Source organism: Homo sapiens, chromosome 12, assembly GCF_000001405.40.
Source record: "Homo sapiens chromosome 12, GRCh38.p14 Primary Assembly".
NCBI lineage: Eukaryota > Metazoa > Chordata > Mammalia > Primates > Hominidae > Homo > Homo sapiens.
In genome coordinates this window covers 55,566,115-55,589,153 of record NC_000012.12, presented here as the reverse complement: position 1 = coordinate 55,589,153, position 23,039 = coordinate 55,566,115, and the positions used below count along the sequence as shown (strand labels likewise).

General features: G+C 39.2%; 1 protein-coding gene and 1 pseudogene across 1 annotated transcript; one reads left to right on the top strand and one right to left on the bottom strand.

Moving 5' to 3' along the window:
- ATMINP2 (ATMIN pseudogene 2) lies at positions 7,695-8,777 on the top strand (annotated as a pseudogene).
- Positions 13,542-16,686, bottom strand: OR2AP1 (olfactory receptor family 2 subfamily AP member 1). The gene is made up of 2 exons (NM_001258285.2): positions 16,532-16,686; positions 13,542-14,934 (listed from the first exon to the last, which is right to left on the bottom strand). The coding sequence occupies exon 2, from the start codon at positions 14,737-14,739 to the stop codon at positions 13,810-13,812; it is 930 nt and encodes a 309-aa protein (NP_001245214.1). The 5' UTR covers positions 14,740-14,934; positions 16,532-16,686; the 3' UTR covers positions 13,542-13,809.
- Positions 16,687-23,039: the final 6,353 nt, after the last annotated feature.

Sequence of the window (23,039 nt, the reverse complement as noted above, 5' to 3'; positions counted from 1 at the left end):
CGAGACCCTTTTTGTAATCTTCAACCCTTGCCCCCTTCCCAACCTCCTCCCCAAGTCCCCAAAGTCCACTGTATCATTCTTATGCCTTTGTATCTTCATAGCTTAGCTCCCACATATCAGTGAGAACATACGATGTTTGGTTTTCCATTCCTGAGTTACTTCACTTAGAATAATAGTCTCCAGTCTCATCCAGGTCGCTGCAAATGCCATTAATTCATTCCTTTTTATGGCTGAGTGGTATTTCATCATATATTTCATCATATATATATGTATATATATATATACACAACAGTTTCTTTATCCACTTGTTGACTGATGGGCATTTCGGTTGGTTCCACAATTTTGCAATTGTGAATTGTGCTGCTATAAACATGCATGTGAAAGTATCTTTTCATATAATGGCTTCCTTTCCTCTGGGTAGATAACCAGTAGTGGGATTACAGAATCAAATGGTAGTTCTACTTTTAGTTCTTTAGGTAGTCTCCACACTGTTTTCCATAGTGGCTGTACTAGTTTATATTCCCACCAGCAGTGTAGAAGTGTTCCCTGATTACCACATCTATGCCAAAATCTACTGTTTTTTGATTTTTTGATTATGGCCATGCTTGCAGGAGTAAGGTGGAATCACATTGTGGTTTTGATTCACATTTCGCTGATCATTAGTGATGTTGAGCATTTTTTCATACGTTTGTTGGCCATTTGTATATCTTCTTTTGAGAATTGTCTATTCACATCCTTAACTTACTTTTTGATGGGATTGTTTGCTTTTTTTTCTTACTGATTTGTTTGAGTTTGTTGTAGATTCTGGATATTAGTCCTTGTCAGATATATAGATTGTGAAGATTTTCTCCCACTCTGTGGATTGTCTGCTTACTCTGCTGACTGTTCTTTTTGCCATGCAAAAGCTCTTTAGTTTAATTAGACCCCAACTATTTATCTTTGTTTTTATTGCATTTTTTTGGGGTTCTTGGTCAGGAAATCCTTGCCTAAGCCAAAGTCTAGAACGGTTTCTCCAATGTTATATTCTGGAATTTTTATAGTTTCAGGTCTTAGGTTTAAGTCCTTAATCCATCTTGGTTGATTTTTGTATAAGGTGAGAGATGAGGATCCAGTTTCATTCTCCTACATGTGGCTAGCCATATATCCCAGCACCATTTTTTGAAAATGATGTCCTTTCCCCACTTTATATGTTTTTGTTTACTTTGTTGAAGATCAGTTGGCTTTAAGTATTTGGGCTTATTTCTGGATTCTCTATGCTGTTCCACTGGTCTATGTCCCTATTTTTTTTTTTTTTTTAACCAGTACCACACTGTTTTGTTGACTGTGGCCCTATTGTATAGTTTGAAATCAGATAGTGTGATGCCTCCAGATTTGTTCTTTTTGCTTAATCTTGATTTGGCTACATGAGCTCTTTTTGGTTCCATATGCATTTTATAATTGTTTTTTTTTTCTAATTCTGTGAAGAATGATGGTGGTATTTTGATGGGGATTGCATTGAATTTGTAGATTGCTTTTGGCATTATGGTCATTTTCACAATATTGATTCTACCCATCCATGAGCATGGGATGTGTTTCTATTTGTGTCATCTATGATTTCTTTCAGCAGTGTTTTGTAGTTTTCCTTGTAGAGGTCTTTTGCCTCCTAGGTTAGGTATATTCCTAAGTATTTTATATTTTTTGCAGCTATTGTAAAAGGGGTTGAGTTCTTGATTCGTTTCTCTGCTTGGTCCCTGTGGTGTATAGAAAAGCTACTGATTTGCATACATTAATCTTGTATCTAGAAACTTTGCTGAATTCTTTTATTAGTCCTAGGAGCTTTCTGGAGGAGTCTTTAGGGATTTTGAGGTAAACAATTATATCGTCAGCAAACAGTGACAATTTGACTTCCTCTTGACCAATTTGGATGCCCTTTATTTCTTTCTCTTGTCTGATTGCTCTGGCTAGGACTTATAGTACTATGGTGAAGAGGAATGGTGAGACTAGGCATCCTTGTCTTGTTCCCGTTCTCAGAGGGAATGCTTTCAACTTTTCCCATTCACTATTATGTTGGCTGTGGGTTTGTCATAGATGGCTTTTATTACATTGAGGTATCTTCCTTGTATGCCAATTTTGCTGAGAGTTTTAATCATAAAGCGATGCAGGATTTTGTTGAATGTTTTTCCTGCATCTATTGAAATGATCATGTGATTTTTGTTTTTAATTCTGTTTATGTGGTATGTCACACTTATTGACTTGTGTATGTTAAACCATCCCTGCATCCCTGGTATGAAATCCACTTGATCACGGTGGATTATCTTTTTGATATGCTGTTGGATTCAGTTAGCTAGTATTTTGTTAAAGATTGCTGCATCTGTGTTATATTCTTTTGCTGAATTGATCCCTTTATTATTGTATAATGACCTCCTTTGTCTCTTTTTACAGTTGTTGGCTTAGAGTATATTTTATCTGATGTAAGTATAGCTGCTGCTCTGGTTTCCATTTGAATGGAATATCTTTTTCCATCTCTTCACTTTCAGTCTGTAGTGTCCTTAAGGATGAATTGAGTTTGTTGTAGGCAGCATACAGTTGGATGCTGTTTTTCTTATTTCATTCAGACCTCTATGTCTTTTAACTGGAGACATTAGTTCATTACATTCAAAGTTATTATTGTTAGGTAAGGACTTAGCACTGTCATTTTGCAATGATATGTTTTTTTGAGAAGTCTAGTGTGTCCTGGGCATAATGTTAAATAAAATACCTTTATTATATTTATGTATAAAGCTAGACAATATAACTTGTTTTCTTAATGTTCATTACACCATATGACTCCTAAAGAGGGAGATAGTTAGGGCATTTACCTTCTGTTGCTGTGATGGTCTCACACATTGGTCAAGAAATGTGAGAGATGGAGTGTGGTTTAGTATTTCCTCCCAGAAACTCCTTTTCTCTTTCAGTCTTTTGTACCCTGATAACTGTCCTCTGATGAGAGGTAGGAGGTCTTGTTCTTCCTCTATTTCTTCTAAGGCTTGAGAACTGCTCTTCCACTTGTTCCTGGCACTCTGGCTCAAACTTCTCCAAGTTTACCCACTTGCGATCTCTAAATGTTTACATGGAAATGATAAGTGTCATGTGACTCCTAATAGCTGCTAAATATGACTCTCCCTGACAAAAGGAATTTCAGATTGGAAGGAGTAGAGGGACATGGTCTTGGAAGGATCAGTGTTTGGCTTTGACCTAGAGTCCTATACACAGGATTAATTCTCAGCTATGTTTGGTGAGAGGAATGTTTGTATTTGAGGTTGATCCTAGATGATGTCTGTGATTAACTTGTGAACAATCTCTCTCCTCCGATCACAGTTTGGCTTTAGACAGAGAGTCTTAATAGATGAGTGTGCCAAGTATGGATTTTTGAGCAGCCAATGTGATAGAGAATTATAGCATACAGATTTCTTTAGGAAAGAGAAACATGGTCCTGAGAAATTACTGGAGAGCAATAACATATACACCAGGACAATAAGAGTTTAGAGAAAAGGCAACAAAGAGGGAGTAACAACAGAACAGTATAATTTACAGAAGGGATTGATTCAATCTAGTCTACAGCTTTGTGGGAACATGTGTTTGTGGGTAATTCTTGAGTCAGGAGGAAGACAAAGATATAACTTTATAGTACATAAGATAGCTCATTGTTTATTTTCTCTTCCAGCCCACACCACATATTGAGAAAACTAGAAGAGAATGAACTTGGCCAGAGGAGAATGAAGTAAGTGTAGTCATGAGCCAAACAGAACCAATTATCTTCTCTCTTTTGGGAATTTGCAGTTAGTTATAGATTCTGTGTTGGTAAACTATGGGTCATCAAGGTAGAAGGTAATATATAATAAATATGTATACATTTAATTTTGATAATATTTTTTCTTGTTTAAAAGAAACATTGTGGGATAAAAATGATAGTAAATAAATCATCCAGTTTGCCCTTGGATGATAATGCTGAGCTGGCAGAAGAAATCCATATCCAAAAGGAAGGGCTGTTTCAGTGAAGACAATTGCTGCCCCACTATAATATAAGGGGCCCTTTGCAATTAACTAATTAGCAATTAACTAATTAACCAATTGCATATGAAAGTAGCAGGTGCCATGCAATAGGCTTGGCTTTGATTTCTGCTATTAGAAGATTGGACACAGCAATGACAGTAGCCAGATGAGTCTTGGTAAGGAAAGTCTCATGCATAATTCTACAGTCCTTCTTTAATGTTTACTTTGTTTTTGAGCTCATTGAACAAGCATTAAAGTGGTGGAGAATAAGATTGGTTCTCATCCACAGAAAAAGTCAGCTTGTCTACCAACTTTTTAATAGATGTATGTATATGTCTGTTTGTTGAAGAAGACTTATGGTGAGTACTCATATTCATGTGGAATACAAGTATTCTCAACTCTAGTCACATTATGAGAGGTATATCTATGTTCTTCTACTGCAGTCATCCTGGAGTAGGTTAACCAATCCTCCATTTTTTAAATTCTAAATCCCTGATAACACAGATAAACCATTATTCTGCAATCATAAAATGGCATACATCTATACCTCTTTTTCTTGAATGACAAAACGTGTGGCTTATCAAGATGTGAAAGACTGTTTCCTGAATTGAGATTGTGATACCGATAATCTTATATCATGGATGTATCCCAGAAAAAATAAAGCATCTTGGAGCATTGGGCACCATGTCGGGATCCAGTCAAATGCAGAAATGGAGTAGAAGTAAGGAAAAATATAGAATAACATGGGAGAACCTAGAACTTTGGCCAATAATAGGGTTGGAATGTCCTAAGTTCCATTTTTGTTGGGTATTAATTGTGTATTATGGTGAAGAGTAGAGCTTAGTTTAAAATCACAGAACTAAAATCCGGGAAGGAATAATCAGGAATCTTTTGATTTCACATGACAGCAACCCAAGCCAAACTATCTTAAGTGAAGACAGAAATTTATAATTCACATAATGTATAAGTCCAGCAGTAACTGGTTTCAGGTGTTACTAGATCTAGAATACAGGGACTCAAACATAGTTACTCTCTCCCCATTTTCTTCTTTTAAGGTTGGTGTTTTTCTTGAGACAGATTTTTTCACTTGGAAGACAGTAGACAGTCTCCAATATATAGTCCTTGAAATCTATGATCCAGAAAGCATGGCACCATCTCTCTTTTCTTTCAAGTCTAAATCAAAAAGGTCATAAGGTCCATCTTGGTTCATATGCTTAACTCTGACTCAATCTTTTAGCTAGGGGAATGTGGTATCATAATTGAATGGGCCAGTTTGTATGTTTATCAATGACGTCAAATAAGGAGAGATGAGTGGATTGACAGTTCCATCAGAAATCCAAGACTGGAGCAGGGTGAAATATTTATCAGAGAAAGGGAGATGCTAACACAAACAAAAATGACAGCTATTGATAAAAGGAAGTTAATTGAATCAGGCAAGAACTGCAGGGGAACATTACTTTGTGAGAAATTGCCAAAGCCAAAGGCCTTGAGAGGGAGAATATGTGTGGAATAAAGAGTGAGTGATATGGGCATAAGTGGGGAGGGGTAACAGTTTGTGCTGAATCAACTTTTGATGTACAAGCTTCTGTTATATAATAATGAGACCCTTTTCATATATAGGATCAGACCAGTCAGAGGCACTAAATATGCACAGTATGAACCTGGTACTAGGCAGTCTAGAGGTGGATGACCTAGGTGGGCACAGTTTTAGCCCATCAAATTTATGATGATGCTACATTGTGAGCATGTATATATTCTGGGAGTAATTAGATCTATGCTATCAGAGACTTCACATCCAAAAGGTCCAAAAAGATGCAGGAAGCTCCTATGAAGAAGAAATAACTTTATGCAAAGCTGTGAAAGTTCTAGAATTTCCCTGCATTTTCTCATGCAAAGAATTGTTCACCCACAGTTCAAGCCAATAAATATTTAAATAATTAATAAGCCAGTTATAATCTATATAATCTCTTCCTTTTGGGTATTTATTTGCAATTATTCTTGACAGTTTTAGAAAAGAAAGCAAAACAAGGAATTGCTGGTGTAGACACTGAATTTCCATGAATTTTAACTACTGTTGATACTCTTCCTATTTTTAAGTTCTTAGAAATTTTATTGAAATTGTGATAATTTTCCAAAATTGCAGGAAGAACTAAATGTTATGACAGTCTGAATTTTTACTAGTGATATTTTTATGATTTTCTATATTTTTGGGAAAGGACAAACATAACATTGGTGTGGGAACTTAACATGAAATAAAGTATTATGGCTAGTAGGATTAGATAGCTGCCTCACTGTCCAGCTCCATCCAGACAATACTTGAATTATGGTACAGGCCTAACATGCCTAGTATCTATGGCATGTCAAACTGGAGACAGTATTTTCCAAGAATATTATGTTCTGTGGAGTTTTCTTTGTCACAAAGGAGGCTATATCATAATATTTTGGAGGAAGTATATATGATTTCATCAAATGCTACACATTTGATGAAAATGGTCACCAAGATTCTTTATTGAGATATTTAAAGTAGAGAAATGTTGTCTCCTTGTGTGTTAAATAAAGTAAAATAAATTAGAGAAACGTACAAAGAAATTTTTATACTCTTGCCTTTACTCTACTCAGGATTGAGGTTACAATGTTTTTCATATTTGTCTTTTTCTAAATTAAAGGAACATAGCATAGCAGATATAGTTGGAATATCTTTCACTAACTGACTCACAGATAATCATAGTTCAGATCAGAGAGTAGTATAGATGATCAGCCTCTGTGGCTGTATGGGAACCTTGACAGCAGTGCTGGCGGCTGGCCCCCTGGCCATCCTGGCAGCCACAAGGGAAGTCAAGGCTGCCTCAAGCCTGTGGGGGCCTCTGGGACCCCAGCTGAGGGACAGCAGCCTGCAGCCTGATGCCATCAGCCTGGGAGCTGATCCAGCAGTTGGTGATCAAGCTGTCCCAGGCAGTGTGGACCAATAACCTGCACACAGTGCTTGGCTGTGCAAGATCCTGCCCAGCAGCCCCACGCTCAGCATGTTCTTGGTCAACAGCCACTGCCTGTAGGATGGAATAGTAGACCCAACAATAATAAATGGTTTGGTGATTCCTGGAAGACCTAAAGGCAGAAATGCTGTTCAACCCAGCAATCCCATTACTGGGTATATATCCAGAGCAATATAAATCATTCTCTTATAAAGACACATGCATGCGTATGCTCATTGCAGCACTATTCACAATAGGAAAGACATGGAATTAACCTAAATGCCCTTCAATGATAGGCTGGATAAAGAAAATGTGGTACATATACACCATGGAATACTATGCAGCCATAAAAAAGAAAAAAATCATGTCTTTTGCAGGGACATGGATGGAGCTGGAGGCCATTATATTTAGCAAATTTACTCAGGAACAGAAAACCAAATACTGCATGTTCTCACAGGTGGAAGCTAAATGAGGAGAACACATGGATACATAGAAAGGAACAACATACACTGGGGCCTACTGGAGGGTGGAGAGGGAGGAGGGAGAGGATCAGAAACAATAACTAATGGGTATCAGGCTTAATACTTGGGTGATGAAATCTGTACAACAAACTCCCATGACACAAGTTTACCTAAGTTGCAGACTTGCACTTATATCTCTCAACTTAAAAGTTAAAAAAAAGAAAAAGAAATGGTTTGATAACCCGTACTGAAATTTTACTGTTGTCCAGTTGATGGATGCCCTGGACGCTCTCACAAACCATTTTCTCAATTTTCTCTCGTAAAGCAACACTTTATGAAAATGCATGCTGAGAACATAAATGTAGTAATGAGACTTGAAGAGACACTCGGACTGTGGCAAGATCTTTGAGTGCACATGTGTCTGTCCCTATGCCAGTGGAATGGTATTACAGTCAGACGTTTACTAAACTGGCCATGGTCCCTGCAGAATACAGGGATCTACCTATTAGAAAAGGAAAATGTAAAACAGTCTATAAAACTAGAGGGGGTCCAATAAGACCATTGAATCACTAAACAACCAACCAACTTCTAGACAGACACTCAAGAACCAGAAGCTTCAGAAATAAAAACAGTAGCTTTTTTTTTTAAAAGAATCTTGAAGCTCTAATGCCAGAAAGCAGACTCTTACAACACCTCTGAAGTAGCCTTAGAAGTTGCATTTACCACAGCCCAAAGTGGTTCTTGTTAAATTACGTGTGATGCAGTTTTCTCCTATGCTTGTCATTGAGCCTGCAACTGACTCCCTGGCTGAACCCGTGGTGTGAGGTATCGATCAGGCTTCTGCCACAGAGTCTGTGCACCTACCGCCTTGTCAATAGGAACCCTGATCCATGCCCTAGATTCAGAGGCTTGCTCTCCTAAGAAGAGACTGCCTCTTTCAAAAAATTGTAAATCCTGTTGCTGTTGAGCCAACTAATATGGCTGTTCAAGTGAACCTGGGTAAAAGTCTGTCTAATCCTTTACAAGAAATAGGGAACACATGCCCAAAGAATAGCATTTCTTCAATTAATGTACAGACAGATATGTCTTATGCCTCACAAAACTTTGTACCTTCTGCACAGTGGGCTAGCCTCGATTCTTCTGTGTCATCTTGTTCTCAAATTGATTTTGTCATTTGATTCTCAAGTGTCCCTTCCCACTAGTGTTCACACAGACATTTTTGCCCAGCTTGAGGCTAACTTTACCTATAGCTGCTCAGAGTGATGCATTTATAGGCACTTGTTTCCAATCAGGTGAGATCTTCAGAGAAACCAAAACTAGTGGGATGGTTCAAGACTAAAACCATGGGATTGAGCTGGGAAGGGCTGTGGGTAAACAAAATTTGCCAGGGGCTGGAGGAAAGGAGAGATTGTCAGGTGAGATGGAGAGGTGGTGTAGATTAGGCACTTAGAATGCTTGAGTTTGAGATACCTATTACACATCCACCATTGAATTTAGTAATGTGGCAAGAGGTCCTTGACCATAAAGATTTTCAACTTTTAAGAGACTAGACCAAGCAGAATAAATAATTTCTGAAGTTGAAAACAGGTCTTTTGAAATAACACAGGCAGACTGAAAAACAAAAGAGAGAAGTGAACAAAGCCTATAGGATTTACAGGACACCATTAAGCAAACAAATATTCATATTCTGGGCATTTTAGGAGAAGAAAATAAGGGAAATGGTATAGAAAGCATATTTAATAAAATAATAGGTCAAAATTTTCCAATTCTTGAGAGAGGGCTGGACATCCAAATACGGGAATCTCAAAGAAACCCAAATAGATTCAACCCAAACATGTCCTATCCAAGACACATTTTAGTCAAATTGTCAGAAGCCAAAGACAAAGAAAAAATTTCTAAAAACACCAGGGAAAAACATTAAGTCATGTATAAGGGAATCCCCATTTCACTAACAGTAGATTTCTCAGCAGAAGCCTTACAGGCCAGGAGAGAATGGAATGATGTATTCAAAGTACTGAAAGAAAAAAAAACCCTGCTAGCCAACAATATTATGCCCAGCAAAGCCATCCTTCAGAAATGAAGGAGAAATAAAATATGTGACAAACAAGCAAAAATGAAGGGAATTAATAGTCACCATACTGGACTTACAAGAAATGTTCAAGGGAGTCATACATCTGGAAGAGAAAAGATGATAACCACCATGGTGAAAATATGCAAAACTATAAACTCACTGGTAGAGCCAATAGAGAAAGGAGAAACAAAGGAATCAAATCTTATTACTACAGAAACTACCCAACCACAAAAATAGACAATAAGATAGGAAGTAAGGAACAAGGGATATACAAAACAACCAGAAAACAATAAATAAGACCAAATCTACATCTCTAAGCCAAAAGAATAAAGCTGGAGGCATCACGCTACCTGACTTCAAACTATACTAAAAGGCTACAGTAACCAAAAGAGCATGGTACTGGTACCAAAACAGAGATATAGATCAATGGAACAGAACAGAGCCCTCAGAAATAATGCCACATATCTACAACTATCTGATCTTTGACAAACCTGGCAAAAACAAGAAATGGGGAAACGATTCCATATTAAATAAATGGTGCTGGGAAAACTGGCTAGCCATATGTAGAAAGCTGAAACTGGATCCCTTCCTTATACCTTATACAAAAATTAATTCAAGATGGATTAAAGACTTAAACATTAGACCTCAAACCATATAAACCCTAGAAGAAAACCTAGGCATTACCATTCAGGACATAGACATGGGCAAGGACTTCATGTCTAAAACACCAAAAGCAATGGCAACAAAAGCCAAAATTGACAAATGGGATCTAATTAAAGAGCTTCTGCACAGCAAAATAAACTACCATCAGAGTGAACAGGCAACCTACAAAATGGGAGAAAATTTTTGCAATCTACTCATCTGACAAAGGGCTAATATCCAGAATCTATAAATAACTCAAACAAATTTACAAGAAAAAATCAAACAACCCCATCAACAAGTGGGTGAAGGATATCAACACACACTTCTCAAAAGAAGACATTTATGCTGCCAAAAGACACATGAAAAAATGTTCGTCATCACAGGCCATCAAAGAAATGCAAATCAAAACCACAATGAGATACCATTTCACACCAGTTAGAATGGCAATCATTAAAAAGTCAGGAAACAACAGGTGCTGGAAAGGATGTGGAGAAATAGGAACAGTTTTACACTGTTGGTGGGACTGTAAAGTAGTTCAACCATTGTGGGAGTCAGTGTGGCGATTCCTCAGGGATCTAGAACTAGAAATACCATTTGAGCCAGCCATCCCATTACTGGGTATATACCCAAAAATTATAAATCATGCTGCTATAAAGACACATGCACACGTATGTTTATTGTGGCACTATTCACAATAGCAAAGACTTGGAACCAACCCAAATGTCCAACAATGATAGACTGGATTAAGAAAATGTGGCACATATACATCATGGAATACTGTGCAGCCATAAAAAATGATGAGTTCATGTCCTTTGTAGGGACATGGTTGAAGCTGGAAACCATCATTCTCAGTAAACTATCGCAAGGACAAAAAACCAAACACCACATGTTCTCACTCATAGGTGGGAATTGAACAATGAGAACACATGGACACATGAAGGGGAACATCACACACTGAGGCCTGTTGTGGGGTGGGGGGAGGGGGAAGGGATAGCATTAGGAGATATACCTAATGTTAAATGATGAGTTAATGGGTGCAGGACACCAACATGGCACATGTATACATATGTAACAAACCTGCACGTTGTGCACATGTATCCTAAAACTTAAAGTATAATAAAAAAAAGCTATGACAATTGCTTGAACCTTAAGTAATAAAGAAATTTTTCATTTGTACATTAGTTATTTTACTAATTGAACATTTATTGAGTACCTATTATGGGCAGGACACTATTATATGTAGTAGACCACCATTTGTACCCTCAAGTCTAGAAGCCAAGGCCATTTCCTTATAGCTCAGAAAGAAGATAAATAGGGAGGAGGTGAGCCCAGTTAGCAGCTTATATGAGTCTCCTTGTTCATTACTTAATCCTCATTGAAATCTTATTATTGGCAGGGGAAGATGGAAGCAAAATACTGTTTTGTTAGTTCTCATGCTCTTTGGGATCTTTATGTTCCTACTGAAAGGGAGAAAATAAACAGGAGATCCACATTCTTCACAAGAGATATGGATATAGAAAGGAGAAGGATTTTGAGAGAAGTCAAGAGCCATAGGGTGGAATAATATGGGCTTGGGTATACTTGCAACTTCCTAAAGAGAATCATATCCCAAAGGCTTCTAACAAAGCTGTTGAGAGCTTGGAAAAATAAGATAGGTAAAAAAATCAAGGTCATTTAAAATAATTAGAAGTGTTGGGGAGAGGAAATGGTAAAACCAGTTAGAATGGCTGTATGGCTCAATAGTTAAGCAGGTGGGCTCTAGCACCAGATAGATTTGGCTTCTGATTGTAGTGCAGGCACTTAGCTGTGTGACCTTGCAGAAGTGATTTCACTTATTGAAGCTTCAGTTCCCCATATGTAAAACACAGTGGAATTTCCAGGCAGATCTAAGTCCATATGTAGCATGCCTTGATAATTCCTTTCTCAAAGTATATAAACCCTCAAATGATCATGAGCCTTTATTAAAAAAAATCTGTCTGAGACCCCTCAGTCATTTGTCCATCCATCCATCCATCCATCCATCCATCCATCCATCCATCCATCCTTCATTCATTCATCCATTTAAGAACTATTTAATGAGCACTTACCATTGCTTGGCATTGCAGATGAAATTGTGATTAAGAAGTTATTATCCCTGCACTCCTATGCCTTACAGACTAGAGGTGAATATAGATTTACATCTATAACCATTGTTAAGATATTATCAGTGAAAAAGTGCAGAATACCATGGGGAAATATAACTTGGGGCTCATTCTTTCCATTTCTCTGTTCTCGAAATTCCATTTGATCATTCTCTAACTTGTCAGCTCCCATTCACTAGTAATCCACAACAATCTGATTTCTTCCTACCCAAACCAACTTCCTACCCAACTTTCACATTTGCTGAAAATGGCTAAGATCAACAACAATCCAATTGTCAGTTCTCACACTTTCATTCTTCCTATTAATCGCTCTCTGCAGCATTTCACATTGACAACAAACTATGTTTCTTGAGACATCTCTTCCCATAAATTTGATAGGTTTATTGCCTTTCTTATTAACCCTTCTGCTTTTTAAATTTTAGGATGAACCTTAGCATTTAATATTTAAGCCTTTTCTATACATGCTTTTATTTATGACCTCATCTATTCCCACATCATCAGCTACTATGTACATGTTAAGGATTGTGAAATTCATAGATCTGGTTCCAAATTCAGATGGGCATTTAACTTACTTAAAATGAGAATTTAACTTAATTCAAAACTAAATTTATCATCTCCATAGCTTTTTGTTTTGTTTTGATTGAAACTAATAGTGGTAATATTTACTCAGTCTCCTTGGATTGAAATTTTGTGCTCCTATTCACAATATTTATTCTACCAAAATTTCTTTCTTTACCCCCTCTGAAAACATTTATTTTCTCTCTAACTTAGGTTGAGTTATTCAATTGAGTAACTAAATAGAATAAAACCATATTCATTTCACTATTAACACTTAACAGATTGCAATTTATTTCCAAGTCTCTCCCACTGAACTGAAGTTTAACTTTTTATTGAGTACTTAGTAACTATCAAAGAGCTTAGTACATAGTAGGGACTCATGAATGAAGTCTTAAATTCTTAAATTCTTTTTTTCCTCTCTCTTTTTTTCATACCTAGTCCCACAGATAATTCTTTATTTTATTTATTTATTTATTTATTTATTTTTATTATTATTATACTTTAAGTTTTAGGGTACATGTGCACAATGTGCAGGTTAGTTACATATGTATACATGTGCCATGCTGGTGCGCTGCACCCACTAACTCGTCATCTAGCATTAGGTATATCTCCCAATGTTATCCCTCCCCCCTCTCCCCACCCCACAACAGTCCCCAGAGTGTGATGTTCCCCTTCCTGTGTCCATGTGTTCTCATTGTTCAGTTCCCACCTATGAGTGAGAATATGTGGTGTTCGGTTTTTTGTTCTTGTGATAGTTTACTGAGAATGATGATTTCCAATTTCATCCATGTCCCTACAAAGGACATCAACTCATCATTTTTAATGGCTGCATAGTATTCCATGGTGTATATGTGCCATATTTTCTTAATCCAGTCTATCATTGTTGGACATTTGGGTTGGTTCCAAGTCTTTGCTATTGTGAATAATGTCGCGATGCATAATTCTTAAATTCTTTAAAGATTCAGAAGCTTTTTGACCATATCCTTGAAGGGTTGTTTTACCTGTTGGTTCCTTAGGGTGTAAATAAAGGGGTTCAACAAAGGAGCAACTGAAGTAATGAGTAGAGCTACTCCCTTGTTGAATGTATCCCCTTCTTTTGCAGAGGGATTAATGTACATAAACATGCAGCTTCCGTAAGAGAGGGAGATGACAATCATGTGGGAAGAACATGTGGAAAAGGCTTTTGTCCTTTGTTGGGCAGAGGGGAGCTTCAGAATAGTCTTGATAATGAATGCATAGGAGAGAATCACTAGCACCAGAGTGACCACCAGGGTCACAGATGCCACAAGAAAGACAACCTTCTCTATGAGGCTTGTGTCTGAACATGAGAGTTCCAGAAGAGGCTCATAGTCACAGAAGTAATGATTCAGTCTGTTGGATGCACAAAAGTCCTGCTGACTCATCAGGGTGATTGTTGGTATAATAGCCATTAGCCCACCCAGCCAAGAGCAGAAAATCAGCTGGATGCAGATTCTGCTGCTCATGATGGTGGTGTAATGCAGAGGTTTGCAGATGGCCACATAGCGGTCATAGGACATGGCAGCCAGAAGGTAAAACTCTGTAGCCCCAAGGAACATGGCAAAGAAATACTGAGTGAAGCAGCCAGCAAAGCTGATACTCTTGTTCCCTGTTGTGATGCTAATCAGGACCCTTGGAATGAAGATGTTTGTGAAGGAAATTTCCAAGAAGGAGAAGTTCCGGAGAAAGAAATACATGGGAGTCTGAAGGTGGGAGTCCAGCAAGGTGAGGATGAGGATAGTCAGATTTCCAAGGATGCTGAGTAAATACGCAAGGAAAAGAAAGGTGAAAACTGCCACCTGGAGTTCAGGGACATCTGTTAGACCCAGAAGGATAAACTCAGTTAACACGGTTTTATTTTTCATTGTTGAAAAAATTTTGAGTCTCAAAGTGAAAAAGAGAGTAGTAATCAAAAGTGAGAAAGGAAGAGGTGCTCTGAAATGAACGGATGAAGTCTGACAAGAAAAAAATGAAATGGATGATTAACTTCTCCTCTGATGACATAGTCCAGACCAGTGGCCCATTTGAATGATGTTGGATCCTTCCCAGTCCCATTTGCCCTATGGAGGAAAGTTCTTGTCATTATGTTTCCACATTGTACTCTCCCTAGTGCTCACATGAGGCAAGTGTCTGCCTCATAAATGATATTCAAAACATTGTGAAATAAGTTAATAAAAGAATGCCTCCAGCTGCTACCTCCTTCCAGAATGGTTATGAATTTCTTCCCCCCAACATTAACTTTATTTCTCATTGATCCCATTCATTGCCCTACTTCCTTTTTGTGCCTAACTCTTCTCAGAATTGTCATTTTTCTTACTCTTCCCTACCTTTTTTTCATATAAATATAGCAATTTCTCATTTTTCTTCAGGTTCAGCTTCCTTAATTCCCTTGAAGCAAAAAAAGTATCATCTTCCCACTTCTTTCCAGTGGACCCTCCAACTTCTTAGCCTATGTCTGTCTGTTAGATTCAAAGATTTGTGTATTAGGGTTATGCTATTCTGTCCTTTGAAACATTCTACATACTTTCTAGGGGTCAGTAAATATTAGATTAGAATATTTCCTCAAACACATTCAGAATCTTTAGATCTAGAATTTTGCTTCCTGTAAGGATAGGGAGATTCTATTAAATTCCAAGGAAATGTTAGGATCTTAAGAATATTTAAAGCAAGAACTTTTAAACCAGGGATCTACTAATCCCTAGATTAGATTTACTATGTCTGTGAATCCATTAAATTATGTGTAAAACATTTTGTGTATGTGGGCATGTGAATTTTATGGGGAAAATGTACAAAACTATGATACAGGATTTTCTGGGAGATTCCATATTTGGGTACTTCATGGGCATTTCAAGTTTCTACTTTATTTGTGAGCCCATGCAGTTAAAGAGTCACATTATCTGGGAGTGCCCTTATTGATTTATTCAAGATTTCTTTCTAGTTATGTTTTTATAAATGTTTATAAGGCAGCAGCTTTAAAGCATTCTTGATTAAAATTCATTCTAAATTATATATATTTTAATAAACACATATAGATCTCACTTAAAAGTTTTATAGAGCGTTCCTTACCACATAAGGTATAATATATATATATATATGTATTTTGAGCCACAGTCTTACTCTGACACCCAGGCTGGAGTGCATTAGCATGATCATGACTCACTTCAGCCTTGACCTCCTGGCCTCTAGTGATCCTTCAACCCCAGCCTCCTGATTAGCTGGGACCACAGGCATGCACTACCATGCCTAGCTAATTATTATTTTTTATTTTTTGTGAAGATGGGGTCTTGCTATGTTGCCCAGGCTGGTTTTGAACTCCTGGGCTCAAATGATCCTCTCACTTTGGCCTCCCAAAGTGCTGAGATTACAGATGTGAGGCACTGTACCTGACCCATGTGATAAAATCTGATATTTTCTATTTACTTTTTAAAATGCTGGTTGAAGCCCACTAAATTGATTTTATAACCTCCTATTGGGTTGCAGTCAACAGTTGAAATCAGGGATCAAGAAAAGTTATTGTAAATAACTTAGGGAACAAACTTTAAATATACAGCTGAGAGAAGAGGGTCCAGAGAAGTTAGCTTGGAGATGGGTTGGTGGTGCTGGGGATGGTAGCCAGAGAGCATCAGCTGCAGATGCCCTCTCCTCCTGGTTACTAACCTGGAGTCTTCAGGGAGTGGTTGAATATTCACATCTGCATCAGTTTCAGTCTTTACAACTCCAGAGAAGTAAAATAAATGAAGCTATAAACAGGTAACATACTTCCTGACTTGACTATCCAAATGACTATTGTGAGATTTTAATCCTAAATATTCTTGGTGGCAAATTAAAATTAGAAGGCAATATAATTACAAAATAGTATAAGAATTATTGCATTTTTTGTTTTACCTTTTCTGCCACCAAGTTCTATACTACATTTCATAGAAATACACAAATTTCCAAACTTTTCCTGGTAAGAAGTAGTCCGCTGCTTCTGTTTCTTATCATTTCAGTGGGGATTTGCTGATCTGTTATTCAACTAATTAAACAGGAGCTGAATCAGAGTTTTTGGACATCCTCTTTTTAAAGCATAGCCAATAACTAGGACACTAAAACAAGGACTTTGAGAAGCAGAGTAGTCTTGAATTTTTCTGTTGTAGGAGAAATAAACTGATGATCTCAGAAGGCATAATATGAACTCCCTGTCCTACCCCAGATTAAACTTTACCCAGAGTGACACAGGTTATACCTGCTCTATTGAGAGAATGCACTGGGGATCAGTCGAGTGAAGAAACACAAGTTGCCTGGGGGATCCTCATCTGGAACAGGCTAATGAATGTCCTTTGTGAATAACTTTGGGAACAAACTTTAAATAGACAGCTGAGAGAAGAGGGTCCAGGGAGACTAGTTTGGAGACACATTGGTGGTGGTGGGGGAGGTATCCAGAGAACATTAGCCACAGAGAAGAAGAGTATGGAGTAATTATATTTTTCTTTCTCAGGTGGGTGGTCATAGCTGGACTTGGCTATGGACAAACAGGTTAGGTGGAAAAATTTGGAGGTCCTAAAAAGCCACATTTTCTTTTCTTAACTTTTATATTAGGTTCAGGGGTACATGTGCAGGTTTGTTATATAGGTAGACTTGTGTCATGAAGGTTTGGTGTACAGATTATTTCATCACCCAGGTACTAAGCATAGTACCCAGTGGTTATTTTTTTCTGATCTTCTTCTTATTCCTCTTGCCTTCCTCCCTCAAATAGGCCCCAGTGCCTATTGGTCCCCTCTTTGTGTCCATTTGTTTTCATTTAGCTCCCACTTATAAGTGTGAACATGTGGTATTTGGTTTTCTGTTCCTGCATTAATTTGTGTATAATGGCTTCCAGCTCCATTCATGTTCTTGCAGAGGACATGATCTTGCTCTTTTTTAATGGCTGCATAGTATTCCATGGTGAATTGGTACCACATTTTCTTTATCCAGTCTACTATTGATGGACTTTTAGGTTGATTATATGTCTTTGCTATTGTGACCAGTACTGCAATGAACATAGGTATGGTTTTGCTGTGTCTCCACCAAATCTCATCTTGAATTATAGCTCCCATAATTCCCTCATGTTGTGGGAGGGACCCAATAGGAGATAATTGAATCAGGGGGTGGTTTCCCCCATACTTTTCTCATGCTAGTAAATAAGTCTCACAAGATCTGATGGTTTTATAAGGGGAAACTCCTTTTACTTGGCTATCATTCTCTTCTCTTGTCTGCCACCATGTGAGATGTGCCTTTTCCCTTCTGCCATGATTGTCATGCCTCCCCAGCCATGTGGAACTGTGAGTCCACTAAACCTCTTTCTTTTGTAAATTGCCTAGTCTTGGGTATGTCTTTATCAGCAGTGTGAAAATGGACTAATACAGTAAATTGGTACCAGAAGTGGGGTGCTGCTGAAAAGATACCCAAAAATGTGGAAGCGACTTTGGAACTGAGTAACAGGCAGAGGTTGGAACAGTTTGGAGGGCTGAGAAGACAGGAAAATGTGGGTAAGTTTGGAACTTCCTAGAGTCTTGTTGAATGGCTTAGCCCAAAATACTGATAGCAATATGGGCAATAAAGTCCAGGCTGAGGTGCTCTCAGATGGAGATGAAGAACTGGTTGGGAAATGGAGCAAAGGTAACTCTTGTTATGTTTTAGCAAAAAGACTGGCAGCATTATCCCCCTGTCCTAGAGATTTGTGGAATGTTGAACTTGAGACAGATGATTTAGGGTATCTGGCAGAAGAAATTTCTAAGCAGCAAAGCATTCAAGAGGTGACTTGGGTGCTGTTAAAGGCATTCAGTTTTGTAAGAGAGTAGAGCATAAGAGTTTGGAAAATTTGCAGCCTGATGATGTGATAGATAGGAAAATCCCATTTTAGGAGGAAAAATTCAAGCTGGCTGCAGAAATTTGCAGAAGTAACAAGGAGCCAAATGTTAATCCCCAAAACTATGGGGAAAATATCTCCAGGGCATGTCAGAAGTCTTCATGGCAGTCCCTCCCATCACAGGCCAGGAGGCCTAGGAGGAAAAAATGGTTTTGTGGGCCAGGCCCAGGGTTCCTGTGCTGTGTGCAGCCTAGGGACTTGGTGCCCTGCATCCTGGCTTCTCCAGCCATGGCTGAATGGGGCCAATGTAAAGCCCAGGCTGTGGCTTAAGAAGGTGCTAGCCCCAAGCCTTGGCAGCTTCCACTTGATGTTGAGCCTGTGGGAGCACAGAAGTCAAGAACTGGGGTTTGGGAACCTCTACTTAGATTTCAGAGGATGTATGGAAATGCCTGAATGCCCAGGCAGAAGTTTGCTGTAGGGGTGGGGCCCTCATGGAGAACCTCTGGTAGGGCAAGGCAGAAGGGAAATGTGGGCTGGAGCCCCCACTCAGAGTCCCTACTGGGGCACTGCCTAGTGGAGCTATGAGAATAGGGCCACCATCCTCCAGACCCCAGAATGGCAGATCCACCAACAGCTTGCACTGCTCACCTGGAAAAGCCACAGACACTCAATGCCTGACTGCTAAAGCAGCTGGGAGGGAGGCTGTATACTGCAAAGCCACAGGAGCAGAGCTTCTCAAGACCATGGGAGCCCACCTTTTGCATCAGCATGACCTTGATGTGAGACATGGAGTCAAAGGAGATCATTTTGGAGCTTTAAGATTTGACAGCCCCTCTGGATTTCAAACTTACATGGGGCCTGTAGCTCCATTGTTTTGGCCAATTTTTCCCATTTGGAATGAGCATATTTCCCCAATGCCTGTATCCTCATTGTATCTAGGAAACAACTAACTTTTGATTTTACTGGCTCATAGGCAGAAGGGACTTGCCTTATCTTGGATGAGACTTAGGACTGTTGGACTTTTGAGGTAATGCTGAAGTGAGTTAAGACTTTAGGGGACTGTTGGGAAGGCATGATTGGTTTTGAAATGTAAGGATATGAGATTTGGGAGGGGCCAGGGGCAGAATGATGTGGTTTGGGTGTGTCCCCACCAAAATCTCACCTTGAATTGTTGCTCCCATAATTCTCTCATTTCGTGGGAGAAACCCAGTGGGAGATAACTGAATCATGGGAGTGGTTTCTCCCATACTGTTCTTGTAGTGAATGAGTCTCATAGGATCTAATGATTTTATAAGGGGAAACCCCTTTCACTTGGCTCTCATTCTCTTCTGTTGTCTGTGGCCATTTGAGACATGCTTTTCACCTCCTGCCATGATTGTGAGGTCTCCCCAGCCACGTGGAACTGTGAGTCCGTTAAACCTCTTTCTTTTGTAAATTGCCCAGTCTCAGGTATGTCTTTATCAGCAGTATGACAATGGGCTAATACAAACATACACATTCATGTGTCTTTATGGGAGAATAATTTATATTCCTGCATTAGTGTGTTCTTATGCTACAAAGAAATACCTGAGACTGGGTAATTTATAAGGAAAGGGGATTAATTTGTTTACAGGTCTGCAGGCTCTACCAGAAGCACACTGGCTTCTGCTTCTGGAGAGACCTCAGGGAACTTACAATCATGTTGGAAGGTGAAGAAGAAGCAGGCATGTCTTACATAGCCAGAGGAGGAGCAAGAGGGAGAGGGGTGGGAGGTGATATACACTTTAAAATAATCACATTTGCAAGAACTCATTATTGTGATGACAGCACTGAGGGGGAGTGTTGTAAAACCATGAGAAACCACCCCCATAATCCAATCATCTCCCACAAGGGCCCTGCTCCAGCATTGGGGATTACATTTCAACACGAGATTCGAGTGGGGGCACATATCCAAACCATATTATTCTTCCTCTGGCCCTGCTCAAATCTCATGTCTTCTCACATTTTAAAATATAATCATGCTTTCCCAAGAGTCCCCCAAAGTATTAACTCATTTCAGCATTAACTCTAAAGTCCACAGGCCAAAGTCTCATCTGGGACAAGGCTAGTCCCTTCCCCTTATAAGCCTGTAAAATAAAAAATGAGTTAGTCACTTCCAAGATAGAACTGATATACGGGCATTGGGTAAATACTTCCATTCCAAAAGGGAGAAATCAGCCAAAAGAAAGGGGCTACAGGCTCCAATGAAAGTCTGAAACCCAGAAAGGCAGTCATTAAATTATAAGGCTCCAAAATAATTTCCTTTGACTCCATGTCACACATCCAGGAAACACTGATGCAAGGGGTGGACTGCCAAGGCCTTGGGCAGTTCCACCCCTGTGGCTTTGTAGGGGTCAACCCCTATGTCTGATCTCATGGGCTGGGGTTGTGTGCTTATGGGTTTTTCAGGTGCATGGTGCAAGTTGTTGGTGGCTCTACCATTCTGGGATCTGGAGGTTGGTGGCTGCCTTCTCACAGATCCAGTGCCCCACTGGGAACTCTGTGTGGGGGCTACAACCCCACATTTTCCCTCCACTGCCTTAGTAGAGGTTCTCCACGAGGGCTGTACCCTTGCAGCAGGCTTCTGCTGGGACATCCAGGTTTTTCCATATATCCTCTGAAATCTAGGTGGAGGTTTCCAAGAAACAACTTTTGTGTTCTGTGACCTGTGAGCTTAACACCATATGGAAGCCACCAAGGTTTATGTCTTGCACCCTCTGAAGCAACAGCCCGAGTACCTGGGCCCCTTTGAGCCATGGCTGGAGCTACAGTGGCTGGGATGCAGGTAGCAGTGTCCCAAGGATATGCAGGGCAGTTCCTGCCTCAAAGGTCTCTGAAACACCTATGAGGCCTTTTTCCTGTTGTCTTGACTATCAGCACTTGCATTCCTTTTAGGTTTGCAAATTTTTGTAGCCCCACTTGAATTCCTTCCTTGAAAATGGGCTTTCTTTTTCTATCACATAACTGGGCTGTAATTTTTTCAAATCTTTACTCTCTCCTTCCTCTTTAGATGTAAGTTCCAATTTCATATCATTTATTTGCTCACATATATGAGCATAGATTGTTAGAAGCAGCCAGACCACAACTCAGCTGGGCATCTGTAATCCCAGCATTTTGGGAGGCCAAGATGTGTGGATCATTTGAGGTGAGGAGTTCAAGACCAGCCTGGCCAACACAGCAAAACTCCATCTCTACTGAAAATACAAAAAAAAAAATAAGTTAGCCAGTTGTACAATCCCAGCTACTCAGGAGGCTGAGACATGAGAATCACTTCAACCCAGGAGGCAGAGGTTACAGCTAGTCAAGGCTGGGCCACTGCACTCCATCCATTAATCTGTTGATGAATGCTTAGGTTGATTCCATCCCTTGGCTATTGTAAATAGTGCTGCAATACACAAGGGACTAGAGATATCTCTTTAACATACTAATTTCCTTTCTTTGAATATATACCCAGTAGTGGGTTTTCTGGATTGTATGGTAGTTGCATTTTCAGTTTTTTGAGGTGCCTCCATACTGTTTTCCATAATGGCTGTACTAACTTACATTCCCACCAACAATGTGCAAGGGATTCCTTTTTTTTAATGGAGTCTCACTCTGTCCCCCATGCTGGAGTGCAGTGGTGTGATCTCAGCTCGCTGCAACTTCCACCTCCCGGGTTGAAGCAATTCTACTCCCTCAGACTCCAGAGTAGCTGGGATCACAGGTGCATGCTACCATTTCCAGCTAATTTTTGTATTTTTAGTACAGATGGGGTTTCAGCATGTTGGCCAGGCTGGTCTCAAACTCCTGATCTCAGGTGAATCTCCCACCTCTGCCTTCCAAAGTCCTGGGATTACAGGCATGAGCCACTGTGTCCAGTCCAAAGGATTTCTTTTATCCACATCCTTGCCAACAATTTTTATTTTTTTATTTTTTACTTAAAAAATTTATTATTATTATTATTATACTTTAAGTTTTAGGGTACATGTGCACAATATGCAGGTTAGTTACATATGTATACATGTGCCATGCTGGTGTGCTGTACCCATTAACTCCTCATTTAGCATTAGGTATATCTCCTAATGGTATCCCTCCCCCCTCCTCCCACCCCACAACAGTCTCCAGAGTGTGATGTTCCCCTTCCTGTGTCCATGTGTTCTCATTGTTCAATTCCCATCTATGAGTGAGAACATGTGGTGTTCGGTTTTTTGTCCTTGTGATAGTTTACTGAGAATGATGATTTCCAATTTCATCCATGTCCCTACAAAAGACATGAACTCATCATTTTTTTATGGCTGCATAGTATTCCATGGTGTATATGTGCCACATTTTCTTAATCCA